This window comes from Homo sapiens, chromosome 8, assembly GCF_000001405.40.
Source record: "Homo sapiens chromosome 8, GRCh38.p14 Primary Assembly".
NCBI classification, from domain to species: Eukaryota; Metazoa; Chordata; class Mammalia; order Primates; family Hominidae; genus Homo; species Homo sapiens.
In genome coordinates, this window is record NC_000008.11 from 95339533 (window position 1) to 95355533 (window position 16001).

The 16001-nt window shown below is 43.5% G+C and overlaps 1 long non-coding RNA gene across 9 annotated transcripts in view; it reads left to right on the forward strand.

Moving 5' to 3' along the window:
- CFAP418-AS1 (CFAP418 antisense RNA 1) overlaps positions 1-16001 on the forward strand; it is a 541308-nt gene that overhangs the window by 70697 nt on the left and 454610 nt on the right. Inside the window, exon 2 of one of the 9 annotated variants that reach the window (NR_038209.1) lies at positions 4751-4913. The exons of the other annotated variants lie outside the window; for them this stretch is intronic. This is a non-coding gene — a long non-coding RNA (CFAP418 antisense RNA 1). The remainder of the gene's footprint in view (positions 1-4750; positions 4914-16001) is intronic. 9 annotated transcript variants of the gene reach the window in all.

Below are 16001 nucleotides of genomic sequence, written 5' to 3' on the forward strand. Positions count from 1 at the left end.
GCTCTGGGAAAACCTCCTTGTGGCAGGAAGAAGCCAGGTAGCATGGAATAAAAGGGTAAGTAACTTGTGCCAAGCAGGTATCCAAGAGCCAGCTGGCTACCAGGGACTCAGGGGCAGAAACCCAGATTTAAATGGCAAAAGCCAAAGGAAAAATAAGGATTGCACCAGCTTCAGAAATGAGCTCTTAATGGCCTCAAAGAGAAGGCTGTGGGGGAATTCAGCACATAAATAAAAGATAAACAAACTTAAAAACAGGCTTTATAGGCCTGGTGTAGTGTACTAGTAGTTATGGAGTCTTTGCTGGTGCCCAAGGATGCGTCACTGTGGGTGGTTATGGCTTTTGGAAAAGCGCAGAGCTGAGCTGGGCAGTGTAGGTAAGTTGCTGGATTTAGGTAGGAGGTTGAGATCTTTTTATGATCTGTTTGCAAACTGGGTCAAACTGTGTCCTCTGTATGCAGGTCACAGTCATCTTCATTCTGAATTTGACGGAATCAATCTGCATTGTCAATATTGCTGTTTAATAATTATTTAAGCTCTCTTAACGTGGAATAATTCAAAGAACACATATCACATAGTTACAAGCTCTACGTTAATGCTGGCATCCTTAAAAAGGGTGAGCTATTTAGCCATGCATATGTATTAGGGTCACTTTTGAATGTTCATGTTTTGTCATTTTTATTTTCTTCTTTAGATTTAAAATAAAAATATTTTGATAGATAACATGAATTTCATGTGGAAAGAGTGCTTGTAGACAGATTTGCAGGGAGTGAGAGTCTTTCTGGCAAATTGTCCCATTTGGAGTTTCGCTCAGATCATCTTTACTTAAATTTAGTTTGGGTATGATTATAGTAAAATAAAAAATCAGAATTATTTATTTTAAATCTGAGAAACAAAATACAACAACTTCTCCTTCCCTCTCCCCATAATCCAAACAAAATTCACATACCCATCACAATTTTATCTTTAAAGGGCCTTTACTCAAAGGAGCCAAAGAACTTGGACTTCTCTACTCCTTTCCCTGGAATACATTTGGCTTTGTTCTTTGCAGCATAGGCAATTGCTGTTAAAGAGACTTTCAGTTTAACATGTAATTAATAGTTTGGCATTTCCCCAGGGCTTTCCTCGGGACCCTTTTTCTGTATCTGTTTTGTATTACAGAGTTCCCTTGCTAAATATTTCCAGATCATATAGATTTAGATAAGACAAGTTCCAGAACTTAGAGTATTTTTTATTTTGACATTTACAGTATTTATTAGTGAAATGAAAATAATACTTTGACAAGTCCCCAAATAATAAATGGCAATATTCTCAAACTCTGAGTAGTTTAGAGTAACTTTCAGTGGCTAGTGACCACCTGATAGCCAACTGTTCTCTTTTCAGATATGTTAGCAAATTTGAAATACCTTGGGATAAGTTCTTTTAGAGTGCTTTCCCATGATGATAATTGTATTTCCCCCCAGTCCCTCTGGGTGGTCGGTGGGCCTGACATATCTTGTTCCTTTATCTGTGAGAATTAAAGAGTTAGGAGGGGATGAACTATTGCTCTGGGGCAAGTCACATTCTTTGTGCCTGGGCTTAGCACAGGGCATGCTGGGAGTCATGCTGTATTCAGAGGAAGCAGCCATTGCCCCCACACCATGTGTGTTAACCAGAGGGTGGTGTGGGTCACTTTGAGTACCAGGAGACATGACTTAACTGGAACAAATACTTTCAACTCAATCTGGGAAGTAATTATGGTTCACTTGGATATTTTCCAGAGCAGTCTTCAGTGAGGTGAGTTGGGTAGCTTTTATTCATTCTCCCTCTCTACCTTCTCTACAGATCTTTGCTTTTCTTATGGAACTTACCTCATTTTTGCCTCGTAATTTAGTAACTTGAATATATGTCTCTATGCTCTGCTACTTTCAAGCCTGCGAGGGGACTATATTTTTCTTGTTGTGTAGTATCCACAGCTCTTATCATACTGCTTTGCATGAGTATTTTTCAAGTTGTAGTGAGACTCTAAATCTCACAGCACTCCGTACTTCTTGTAGTAGTTAGGGTAAGGATAGCTGCCTGGAGCAAACTACCAAATGTCAGTGGCTTCACTCAGGAAAGTTTATTTCCCATTCATGGAATTGTCCAGCAAGAGTGTGTCTGGTCAGAGGTAGCTTCTTCCATGGGGTAATTCTTATTTTCAGGCTCCTTTTATTTTGTGGTTCTGCTTCCTATAGGCCCCTGGCATCCAGCCAGAGATGGGAAGAGAGTGTGGGAAAGGGATGTCTGTCTTAATTGCCTTGTCTGGAAGTGATGGGCACCACTTCCGTTCATATTATTATTATTATTATTATTATTTTTTTTTTTTTCTGAGAGTCTCGCTCTGTTACCCAGGCTGGAGTGCAGTGGTGCGATCTCAGCTCACTGCAACCTCCATCTCCAGGGTTGAAGCAATTCTCCTGCCTCAGCCTCCCAAGTAGCTGGGATTACAGGCACCCATCACCATGCCTGGCTAATTTTTGTATTTTTAGTAGAGACAGGGTTTCACCATGTTGGCCAGGCTGGTCTTGAACTCCTGACCTTGCGATGTGCCCGCCCTGACCTCCCAAAGTGCTGGGATTACAGGCAGGCATGAGCCACCACACCTGGCCCACTTCCATTCATATTCTGTTGGTGAGAACTCATCACATGGCTGCACCCAGGCTCAAGGATGTTGGGAGTAGCCCCTGGTGAGGCTGCTGCTTCCCAGTGGAGGAGGGGAAGCTCCAGAAGGAACAGCCCACATGTTTGGAGGCCTGTTATCTTCACCATCCTTTCCAGAAGGTAAACAACTTGAAAAATGAAAGAACCATACAACATTAGATCTGAAGGGACTTTAGAGCCATTATATTCCCATTTCCATTTTACAGCTGAAGAGACCTGGGCTTAAAGGGATAATGAGAATTTCCAGCTTGTTTAGCTAGTTAATGGCAGAGTTGGGTCTGGAATCTGGGTCCGTTGACTGCCAGTTATTTCTGTGGCACTATGTCCAATCAAAGTCTTTGTGATTTTTGCACCGCTCAGGTGTAGTTACCCATCAGGTGCTTGAGAACAGTGAATGAGGAGGGTATTTGTGGAAAGTTCAGGGGGGTTGTGGAATCAGGTTTCCTTTTAGGATATTTTAGTTCATTCGTGCTGCTATAGCAAAATACCGCAGCCTGGGTAACTTATAGATAATGGAAATTTACCTTCACGTAGTTCTGGAGGCTGGGAAGTCTAAGATCAAGGTGCTGGCAGGTTTGGTGTCTGGTAAGGGCTGCTCTCTCTTTCCAAGGAAGGGCTGCTCTCTGTTTCTAAGGTGGTGCTTTATCGCTGCATCCTCTGGAGGGAACAAATGCTGAGTCTTCACATGACAGGAGAGTGGAAGAGAGTGAACTCACCACCTCAGGCCCTTTCCTGAGGGCCATAATCCTATTTATGAGGGCCCTGCCCTTATGACTGAATCACCTCTTAGAAGCCCCACCTCTTAATACTATCAGATTGGCGATGAAGTTTCTACATATGAATTTTGGGAGGCATTCAGACCATAGCAGTATGTTTAATTCAGCTCCTACTTTCCTCTGTGACTTACCAAGGTCCTCTCTCTGTGTGATAACCCACAATAGTAGTAAGTTGGCTGGGTTTGGAGGTGAGTGAGAAATGAGAGCATGATTGGGGTCAGAGGTGTGGCCAGAGTGACTGATGCTGCTGGTGGAGTCATCCTGGTATTTACTGTCCAGGTAAGGCATCGTGTGAGTTGAAAGAACACATGTCTAAAACTTCCTGGTGATCAGCATGAATATCCTCTTACAGTTATTTTTTAAAAAGAGCATTTAGAAGGCTGTTGTCAAAATGTAATTATAGAAATTAATTAGATAATATATAAGCATCCAAAAATATGTTTATGGATCTATTTGCCAACATGTTGATCAGCAAGTGGGGTCTTAAGTGAACAAGAGAGTGGACAGATAAGTTTTAAGAGGGAGTAAGAGACAGAAGAGGTTTGGAGGATAGGATACTTCAGGGAGGGAAGACCAGAGTGTGCTACATGAGTGGTGGAGGGAGAATATTTGTCAACAGAAGGTTAGGATGAGGGCACTGGGTAACTGAGAGATAATACAGAAAGAGGGTGCTAGCTGGGAGGGTGGGGAATACCACAGAGACAAGTTTCTTCTTTCCCCTTCTTTTTGATCCCTTGGAGGGGCTGACCATCATCATCACATGGCAAAACATCCTGGATCCCAGATCTGGCTCTGTCATTCAGCCCTTGAGTAACACTGGGGCAGTGACTTTGCTTTTCTGGGCTTCAGTTTCTCCAACTGTAAAACACAAGGGGTGTATGAGACCACTAGTTTTCTGTGTTATTTGGGTACTTGGGAGTCTTGTGGATGTGATTCAAGGGTATCACTGCAGGCATGGGGGTGAGTAGCAAGCAGGCATTTTCTGCCCTGCTCCCCGCCTCACCCTGCAAAAAACAAATTAGCTCTGTGACGTCTGAATTTCTACAGAAAATTATTGTTTGAAGGTCAACGTCTATGTCTAAAGAAAATTTTAAAAAGCACTCAGCCTATACCATTTCTCAGGCTTTCTCTGGTTCTGACATTTTGGGAATCTGTGGTCAGTACCCAAAGCCTTCCAACCTCTAAAGAAACAGGGCCAGGATTTAAAGTCAGCTGTGATTCTATGATTCATACTCTTCTTCAGTCTAGGTGTCTGACCTGGGAATTCCCTCATGTGGCTCTTGGTTCTTTTGCAGGTGTGCTCTGCCTTGTCAGGGTGACTTAGGTGCTCATCTGGGCTATAAAACCCTCACTAAGAGCAGTGCTCGGCACAAGGCAGTCTGACGCCTGGTGAATGATCCATTACTTAAAAGCTCATCAAAGTTGCAGCACTTCTGAGGGGCAGGAAGCCCCAGTAAGGTACCTGGGACAGTTTACAGAACACCACCCTGATTATTTTATGGTAAAAATGTGGTAGGATTCTGGTTTTCAGCAATGAGAAGCAACTCACACACACACACACCCTTAAGTCTAAAAAAACAGCCATATATTGAGAGGTATCTGGATTTTTTTGAAGACTTTCAACCTCCCCCAGCTTTTTGCTTCTAGATCAATGTTTTTAATGGCTTTGGCAGCCTTAGTCCTATTAGTAAATTCCATTCAACCTGCAAATTAATTGTTCAGGAGCAAAATCAAGTTGAAGATGGGCTTTTAATCTGCCCTGCCTCAGCCCACTTCCATGTTTGTATACATTTGAAAGCTTAGCCTATCTCCCTTATTCTGGCTGTTTGAATAGCATAACCTTGGTGATGAATTCCAGATGCTGCACTACAGAGTGCTTCAGGGGCTTATACATTACAGTTCTCAGAAAATAAATGTATTTTTTTCCTTGTGATTAAAAGGCTAAACAGCAGGTCATGCGTACCTATGCATGCAAAAGGGTATTTATATTTTGGATCAGGTGAAATGCACCTGGGCGCTGTAAATATCACAGATCACTGTGATGTGATTGAATCTAAAAGTCGGCATGGCCTCTCTTCCTTTTCTTTTTTTAAATACCCTTTGAAAGCGAAAGTTCAGCAGGTCATTCTTTCCCATAATCAGCGACGAACTTAGATCATCAGAGTTGATGTGAGGTTTTCCTTTACATCTCAGAGGGGAACCTGAACTATCAGTGATTATTGAGAGGTCCTGTCGAATATATTACAGTAGGGATCACAATCTCAAAATTGCTCTGAAAGTCTGGAACCCACACCTTGGAGGGTCTGGACTTCCCTTAACATTGCTTTTCTAGTTACTGTGTTTGGGAGGTGGTTGGGATTGGGGGACTTTTCCCAAGACTTCACATTTCAGAGCAAAGGGAGCTCCACTGGAGAGATACTCCTGGCCTCCTTTCTTACTCCTTCAAGGTGGGAGAGCTTTGGAGAAGGAATGGGGCTGAGAGCCCAGCCAGGTCAGCCCTCTCTCTGGGAGCCCAAGGCAGTAGCATCTTTCTCTACCTTTAGACTGGCAGGAAGCCTGGCAAGGCATGAACTCTTCCCAGACTGGAGCCTGGGGTTTTGGCATAAGCTCAATCCCGTGGAAAGTTATCATGTTTCTTGGCCAGTCTTGGCCATGACATACGTACATACACATGTGCACAATGTTTATTAATAATAAGGATGATACTGGGATCTCCATCTTGCTGAGTCCTTGACACTCTCTAACTTGGTTCAGAGCATGGATGAAGTAGGGGATCTTCTCTGACCCTAATAGTCATTAAAGTAATCATTCTCATGAAAAATTTGAAAATAGAGAAAAATGCAAAGAAGAGAAGTCATCCATAATTCTATTGGGATAACCCTTTTAACATTCTCTGTGTTAATCCTTTAAAACTTTCAGTCTCCTTTCTCTGTTTCCCCTTCCCTCTCTCTTCCTCTTGTACAAGTATAGGCAGGAAAACATACATAACATACATATATATTATGGCGATGTGTGAGTGCAAGTATATATATATGTTCATATACCACATACATTTATCACAAATTAAGGTCATGCAATATTCATAATTGCTATTGTTTAAATTCTTAGCATGTGCCTTATTGTATAATAAGTAATATAACCTCACAATAACTCCATAAAGTGGGTACTGTTTTAATCTAATTTTATAGATGAAGAAACTGATCACAGAAAGTTTAACTCCTTGCCCAAGCTTACACAGATAGTAAGTGGCAAAGGAACCTTTAAACTCAGTTTGAGTTTTAATCATCACGTGGTGTAGCATGTATACTACACTGTATAGTATGTTTTGTTTTGGAATCTGTTCTTTTTACTCAATACTTCATGAACAGTTTGTTCATGTCATTAAATATTCTTCTAAAATAGGATTTTAATAGTTGCACCGAATTTAAGTACAAGGATATGCATTGTATTTTATCTCTTACCTTACAGATTTGGTTTGGTGGTACATTTTCTCTACCATAAGCAACACAGCAATGAACATCCTTGAGCTGCACATTTTTGCTCATAACTCTGTTTATTTCTTTAGGCTAGGTGCTTAGACATTGAACTGCTGAGGCGAACAGTGTCTGCCTATTTTTCAAGCCTCTGATGCTCCCATCAAAGTCCTGACCACCAGCTCCCCCTTGCAGCTGCATGGATGCAGGGACAAAGAACTGGGAGGTCTCCGCATCTTGCCCATAGGGTGTATTGGTTGATCTGGAATGGTCTTTCTTTCTTGCTAGCTTGCTTTCTTGCCTTCTTTTTCTTTTTTCTTCCTTTTTTTCTTATCTTTTTTCCTTTCCTTTCCTTTTTTTTCCCTTTCCCTTCTCCTCTCTTCTCTCTCCTTTCTCCTTTCCTTTCCCCTTTCCTTGTCCCGTCCCCTCCCCTCCCCTCCCCTTTCTTCCCCTTTCCTCTCCTTTCCTCTCCTTTCTCCTTTCTTCTTTCCTTTCCTTTCATGACGGGGTTGCACCATGTTGCTCCAGCTGGTCTCAAACTCCTGAACTCAAGCTATCCTCCTGACTTGGCCTCCCAAAGTGCTGGGATTACAGGTGTGAGCTACCACACTGGCCTGGTTTTTCTTTTTAACTGCTATTTTAAAGCTTAGATTTACAATAATCTTTTGCCCTTGATGGAAGATCTTTGGTTAGTGTCCCTCAGAATATTTTTGGTTAGCAAGAATAAGAAGGATCATATCCTAATTTCTTGGCTCTTTACCGTGATGAATGCCCATCCTACCTCATCGTTGCAAGAGACTGAGGATCTCCTCAGTGACATGTCCCTGGTACCCCTCTCCTACCTGTGCCTCTGCTCTTCTGGTGGCCTCATGCACAAGGCCCTTCACTCTCATCTTTGCAAGTCTGCATTCTATTTATTCTCAAGGGCCAGCAAAATCCTACCTAATGGCACAGTCATCTTTGCCTATCTTTGTTCAGAATTATCAATCTCATTTTCCTATTTTTCCTAGAAGCTAGATTTCCTGGAAGATAGTTTTTTTTGATAATTCCATTTCATTCATTTTTTTCAGTTCACTCATTCATTCAAAAACCACTACTGTGCTGAATGAATAAATTTGGAAACAACAAAAATAATACATGGGCAGGCTCTTTCCTCATGTCTAGTAGGGAAGAAATATTACATAAGCCAAGAATTTCTGTACAGTGTGTTAAGTATTATAATATGTAGGAGAGTGGTATGTATAATGACAGAAAAAAGGAGAAGTCACAGCATGTGAATGGGAGAATGGTGGAACATGAGCATGACTTAGCCAGATGAAGGGGGGAAGCAGGAGGAAACTCCAAGCATCTGGAACAGCATGGGAGAAGGCATTAAGGGAAGGAACAACATCCATAGTCAGCAAAGTGAGGGGAGCCACAATTAGTGACTCGGGCTGGAGTAGTGGGAGGCATTAGTGGGGAACTGAGCACTTTGACATTCTATACTTACCCCCATTGTGGCTTTACCACAACTGACATGACTTATTTACTTGCCTTGCTCCCCCACCAGACAGCAAGTCCTTTGAGGGCACTTACATCTCTTTTGGCACTGTACAAACTCTGCATCCAGCACAGTGCTTGCCACATAGTGAGTGGGGAGACTCAGTAACTATTGAATGAATCAATGGAGGTGGAGGATGAGAACAGCAGGTAGCAAAGGAAGATACCAGTAGTTTTCACAAAATGCTAGTATCTTAGTCTGTTTTCTGCTGCTGTAACAGACTACTACAGACTGGGTAATTTATAAAGGAAATAAACTTATTTGGCTCTCTGTTCTGGAAGCCGGGAAGTCATACATTGAGAGGCTGCATTTGGTGGGGTCTTTCTGCTGCATCATAACATAGCAGAAGGTATCATGTGGTGAGAGAGAGGAGTGGGGAAGGCAAAGGATGGGGCTGGAACTTCATCCTTTTATCAGGAACCCATTCCCGTGATAAGTACATTGATCAGCTCATTAGGACGTGCTCTCATGACCTAATTGCCTCTTAAGGGCGCCACCTCTTATCACAATGGCAATTAAATTTCAATATGGGCCGGGAGCGGTGGCTCATGCCTGTAATCCCAGCACTTTGGGAGGCCGAGACCGGATCACGAGGTCAGGAGATCGAGACCATCCTGGCTAACACGGTGAAACCCTGTCTCTGCTAAAAATACAACAAATTAGCCGGGCGCGGTCGTGGGCACCTGTATTCCCAGCTACTCGGGAGGCCGAGGCAGGAGAATGGTGTGAACCCGGGAGGCGGAGCTTGCAGTGAGCCGAGATCGCGCCACTGCACTCCAGCCTGGGCGACTGAGCGACTGAGTGAGACTCCATCTCAAAAAAAAGAAAAAAAAAATTCAATATGAATTTTGGAGTAGACATTTAAACCATACCAGCCAGTCATACATTCATAACTCTCATTCACTTTCTACATTGGTTTGAAAGTAAGCCACCCTTTTTCCTTCTTCAGTTGAATCAATGCCTGCTAGACTCACTCCAGCCCTCGAGAAGGGATCTTTATTTGGTCAAGACTTCCCTTTCCCTATAATTCTCCCTGTTGTGTTCACCTAAGTTATGACAATGCTGATTTTTTTTTTCGGCTTAAAACAATAAACATTATTGCTCACATGGTATTATTGTTCTCATTTTCCTTCATGGTGTTTATCAAACATTTGTTCCTTATATAATTATGTCATCAGGAGTTTTGTGTCTGCTAGAATATGAGCTTCATGAGGGCAGGGATACCTGACTTTTCCCCATTATTAGTGCCTAGCACAGTGTCTGACATGCTCAGTAATACTCAACAACACTTACAGGACAAACGAATGTAACAAACTCCTAGAGAGCCTGCTGTCTATTGCACATATTGTGGTGGTTGCTTATACATTGCACTCTTTTTGTCATTTCTATGGACAGATTTTGAGCTTTTTGAGACTATTGTACCTGTACCAGGAATGCAGGATAATACTAGATTCTCTCAGACTCAATGTTGAGGGACAATCAATTTTATTTTTATTGCCTGTGGGGTATCTCTGAGTCTCTCTCCAAGCAATCTTCATATTCTCCAAGAATAATATTGGAGAATCTCCTGGTTGAGTGCCATCTAATATATAATTAATGATGAATCTTAGCAGTTCACATTTTCAGAAGTCTTTCTAGGCATGACCTCACCACCACGCTGTGATGCCTCACTGCCAAGGGACTCCATGTGGCCCTGGGTGAGGTCTCTCAGTCCAGCCAGTCTGCAGTTTTGGTGTTCATAAGATTATGAGCCTGGGGAATGTGCCCAAATCCAACCACTCATTCTTACCCTGCCCAGATATTTTGACCCATAAAATGTGTGCACACTGATTTCAGATGGAGACCAAAGTATCCATTGGCCAAGCAAGCTTCCAATAACCTAAAACCGTCTTAATGCTGAATCTTAATTCGGATGGCCAATTTGCCCAGCACTGAAAGGTTTCCTGGGAAGTGGGACCTAAATTGCTAAAACCAGGATAGTTCTGGGAAAACTGAAATGTTGGTCATCTTAATCTCATTAGAGATTCTGATTGGAGAATGCAGTGGGTGCTTCAATCAAAGAAAGCTGCACAAAGTGAGCAGATCTAGCCTGGTTTAACCTCTGGGTCGAAAATGAGGGTGGGTTTGATAGCCCCTTGAGTCTGCAATTGGTGGCAGAAGTGAGGGCACTTTTGTATATCCGCAGTGCCTCTCTAAAACGGTACAGTTGACTAACTCTTGCAGTTGTCCTGAATTTTTTGAACCTTAGGAAGCATTAGAATCAGGAACTGAAAATAGAATCTTCGTCTCTTAGTTTGTTTTCCCTCAGAAGTGGATCCTGAGTTAAGGATAGAAGGGCAAGTTGCTTATTTGAGAGAGGAAGGCAAGCACTGGTAGGGGAAGAGGAGAGTGAGAGAAGAAGGAGAAGGCAGCCAGTAAAGGTTATTTTATTGAGCTGGTTGCCAGCTGTGGGTGACTGGAGCTTAGTCCTTAATCTTTTTCTCTAGAGTAGTTTATCGACCTTGGCACTCTTGCCATTTGGGGCTGAATAATTCTCTATTGTGTGTGGGCCCTCCTGAGCATTGTAGGATATTTAGCAACATCCCTGGTCTCTATCCAGAGGTGTCAGTCATATTCCCTTTCCCCAGTGTGTGACAGCCCAAAACATCCTCAGACAGTACCAAATTGCCCCTAGTTTATAACCAGTGTTCTAGAACACACAGAGTTTTCCCACCTGGGTGGTGAGGGAGCTGGGATGTTTATATGCTGATGGAGACTTCGAAGAAATCTCTTGGGCAAATGCTGGCAGCTGGAATTTGATAAGTGTGCACTAAAGCGGAGAAGTCCAAGGTTGCTGGGTGGGGCACAGACCACACCTGCATTTCTCCATCTTCTTTAGATACTTGTTATCTCTGCAGATGGGCTTTCTCTTTCTCTCTGTCAACATGATGGAATATGACTTTCTATCACTCCCGGCCACAAATACACATCCCATCAGCTTTAAAATTCTAATTCCAAGTCCCTAGGATAGACGATCTGATTGGCCCAATTTGGGCTGGGTATTCATTTGGACCCTATCAGCTGTGACCTATATAGTACAAACATGGCTTTCAAGGGGTCCACTCCTGTTTCAGTGCAGGGTACATGGGCAGCATAAGGAGATTGGCTGTCATTGCGGACAGCAGGGATGGGCAATTATGTCAGCCAGCCTTCATCAGGCATCTCCCATGTGCAAGGCTATGTAAAGGGCACATGGACAAATGACTTGTCAGAGTGCAGAGAGAACGTGAGGAGAATACAGAACTTAAAGACAGAACTGAGACCTTTGGGGTTGATGGTTTCGGAAACATTCCTCTCTCCCCAATGCCTGGGTGAGTGATTGTGCCTAGAGAGTAGGAAGGTAAGTTGAGATAATTGTCTTTCCGTGTGCATACTCTTCATGGTGAAACAACGGAGTGGACATTTTGGTGGGCTGGGGCAGTTTTCTCGCCAGACTTCAAGATAAATTTAGACCTTGCCACCAAATTCTCTTGGCCTTCTCTTGTCTTAGAGGAAGGCTATAAAATCTGGTGTTGGATTGACTGCTCTGGTAAAGGAGGGAGGTTCATGATGTGATGGGGGCGGGGAGGGGAGAAATGTTGTTGTCTGACGGCTTTCTTCTGGGAAGAAAAGGCAGGACTTCGTATTGCCAGCCTTTCCCATTGCAGTCTCATTCTTTGTTTTTTTTTTTTGTTGTTTTTTGTTTTGTTTTTTTTTTTTTTTCAAATCAATAGACACAAAACAAAAATAGGGCATAGGATGACTCTGTATCAGACCTTGGCATAAGGGGCTCTTTGCCCTTGGTGAGCCTGCCTGCCTGGGAAGTGCAGAATGTGGGCTGTCGTATACCTTGTGGGCTCTTAAGTTGCTTCTGCATGGAGATAGCAGCATCCTGTTGGCCGAACAAGGACACTGCTTTTAACTTAGAATGTGTTTATTATGGGCAGCTACAGGGTCCAATAGAGGTAACAGGGGTTTAGCCAAAGCCCCTTCAAGTGGACGTTGCCTTACACAGGTCAAGCAGGTACCAGCCATGTAGGGTACAGTGTGACTGCTGCCCCTGAAGTTGTGCAGCAGAGTCCCTGCCAAGGCACTTCTGCTAATTCCTTCTGCAAAGAGGTATCCTTTGCCAAGATATGTAGCTCTTAGCTGCTTCTGTCACTTCCCAGGCCTGGCTGTGGCAGAGGAAGGTGAACCATAGTTGGATTTAGCCAGGGTCCTTCTGACTTCCAGGAGGACAGCTGATTTGTTTGTAATGGTTGTTTTTCCAAAACTTGGGGCTTCATCAGGCTGAGAAGAGAGCAAGAGGCATGGCATAGCAACATAAAGAGATTAATAATCCCTCTCCTAAGTAGAGTGATGTGGTGGCCATGGAAGTGTTCCTCTCTCGAAGACTGCCACCTACAGGGCTGGGGAACGGCGGGGGGCGGGTAGGGGAGTGAGGTAACTGACCGAAGGCTCTAGCCGCCAGGCTCTCCTGGCACATCCATTGCCACTTTCATGTTGAGGTCATGATTCTCACAGCCTGCTCCCAGCCAATGACTGAGCAGGACAGGGATCCTGAGGCAGGCCTATTCCTGGGAGTGATGTGTATCCTCTGATGGCCAAGCTTGGCTCCAGAGCTCCCTGACTGCTTTGCAGAAACTTCGTCCACCTCCTCTCTCTCTTTTCTTTACTGGGAGTCAGTCTTGCCTTGTGACCTAGCAGCTCTCTCAGCTTTACCTAGCTTCCTCCCCCTTTCTTCTCATAAAGGTTTTTCTTCTAATAAGGTCTAGCCTGTGAAATCTCATCTTGGTGACTGCTTTTCAGTGGGCCTAGATCAACACAGATGACCATATAATTTATACTTCAGATTGAGGCATGTTTGGAATGAAATAATGAAAATGATGATAAAACTAATAGCAGTAAACCAGGGCAGGCCTAAGGAAACCTAAGGAAAAATTTTTGAAGAAATTTGGCTTACTTTGAGATTCCTAAAGACGTAAGAAAAGCTGATAACTGGGACTTTGCTTGGTGAATATAAAAAAAGAGAACTCAACCCATTTAATTCCAGGAAATGATCAATTTGGCTTCACTGTTTGTAGAGCGACTCTTGTGTGCCAAGTAAGAGGCTGGAATAGAAAGATGAATAAGCCACAGTCTCTTCCCTCAAGTGGCTTGTGGTCTAGAGGAGGAGACTCACATAATTTGATAATTTTACCAAAATACGATTCTTATAAGATAAAGAGCTGACAATGGGATTAATTTGGCTATATAAAGACAGGCGCCAGCTCCACCCAGTAGTTCCTAGTTCCTTCCTAGAGGGCAGTGCTGGTGCAGGGGAAGGGTCCTGGGTGGGCTTTGGAGGCCTTGTTTGTGCTAGTAGAGGAACAAGAGGGGTAGGGATACAAGCAAGATGAGGATGTCTTCTGGTCAGGCTCTAGGATGTAGTGCAATGTGCCCCTAGCACTTTTTCCCCCTTTTAATTGCAAGAAAGCAGTTCCCCTGCATTTTCCCTAACCCCCAATATATGGCAGAAAAACAGCTCTGTGATATGCACAATGATTAGACTCAATACATGTTTTCTAACGAATCCCTGCCCTACGTACATGTATACGAAATCAAATCAGCTGAGTGATTGTGCGCCCTCCAAGGCAGCTTGCATTTAGCAAATCCTGGCTGAATGAAACCTCCTTAGACAAGCAAACAGGTAATTGGCCTCCACTGGGCTCTGAGTGAATCACCTCTCTGAAGCAGCTGGTGCTACCGGGTTTTCTGGTAAAGTTGCTCTTTCTACAAGCGGGGCTGGGAAAGAGCAAAGTGCAATGACACACACACTTGAACAAAAAAACACTTGAATAAACAGATGCCTGGTTTACTTCTCTAGCCTTTTCCTTGGCCTCATGATGCCTGACAAAAATTGAGTTGAAAGTGATGGCTGGGCTAAGATGAGGCCAGCAATATGTCACCCTATCAAGCCTAGCTCTCAGGGGATGGCAAAGGCGTTTAGCTCCAAGCTCAGCCATGGTGCTGCCATAAGACAAGAGCCCCATAGCTCCAGCAACTCCTCCCTCCTCCTTTCCACATGATTCAATTTCATGCCATTTGCAGTTGTAAGACAAAAGAATGTTCCAGTTCCAAATTCCAGGCCCCCATCCTAAGCTCCCTTTGTAAGCCCAGGAAAGGAGGCCCAAGAGCCTCATGCATTCCTCTGGTTATAGGCAGCCCATGCTGATGTTCAAGGGCTAGAACCACACTCTTGGCCTTCAACTTTTAACCCTGATGGGTAGGGAATCTTTTGAACTTGAAAAAAGTCCATGCTTTAAGAAAGAATGTTAAAAAAAAAACCCATGGCAAAAGCTTCTTGAGGCCTGTGGTTTATTTCTCTGCACTGTAGGGGAGATCATAGCATTGGCATATGTCATTACAGTCAGGTGAAAAGGTGCTGTAGGCCATCTCAGCATAGCATACCTGCCTTACCCGTGGCGCAGCAAGTATCTTGGAAAACCTTGATGCCCGTGCATTCATTTGCTCAGCACCGTTGCTTGCCACCTGTTGTGTCATAGATTGCGCTTTCCACCTTCTTAGGCACCGGCTTCTACCCAAGTGGGTCCTGGGTGGATGTGGCTCCCCGGTCTCTGGGGCCCAAGCCAGTATTGTCACAATTAGGTAGAGATTCTTGTTAAAAAGCAATGACTGTAGAGTGTGTGTATGTCTTGATAGTGATAGGGGATTAAAAAGTAATTTGTTTTGTCTTTTAATTTGAGCTGCAGTCCAAAGATACTTTCAGATGGGGGTCCTAGCTTGTAATAGGAACTTACATTAAAGTAAAGCAGCCCCTTACTGTCATGACAGCAATTTAAGTCCACTTGAATGGGTTGTCTTGGTACCGTGGGGATTTAGGCTCCACCTAAGCAGTTCCAGAGTGATGCTGAGAGGTCAGAGCCATAGATCGGGTGCAGATGTGAATGAGAGGCAAGAAAAGAGAAACAGGGAGTGTCAGTTGCTCTTTCAAAATTTTTTCCAGCTAATGGAAGAAGATCTCAAAGGCAAAATATAGAGGGGAAAAATAGAAGAAAGTATTTTTTTTTGGGAGGGGGTGATGAAGGGGTGATATGGTTTGGCTGTGTCCCCACCAAAATCTCATCTTGAATTGTAGCTCCCATAATTCCTATGTGTTGTGGGAGGGACCCAGTGGAAGATAATTGAATCATGGGGGTGGTTTCCCTCATACTGTTCTCCTGGTAGTGAATAAGTCTCATGAGAACTGGTGATTTTATAAGAGGTTTCCCTGTTTGCTTGCTCTCATTCTCTCTTGTCTGCTGCCATGTAGATTGTGAGGCCTCCCCAGCCACATGGAACTGTGAGTCCATTAAACCACTTTTTCCTCTATAAATTACCCAGCCTTGACTATATCTTTATCAGCAGCATGAAGACAGACTAATACAAAGGGGTAATGAGAGTAAAGTGAGCAATGAAGAGAAGCCTTCACTTCGTTTCTCTTTCCTTCCCTTCTTTTTCCTTTTCCTCTTCCCT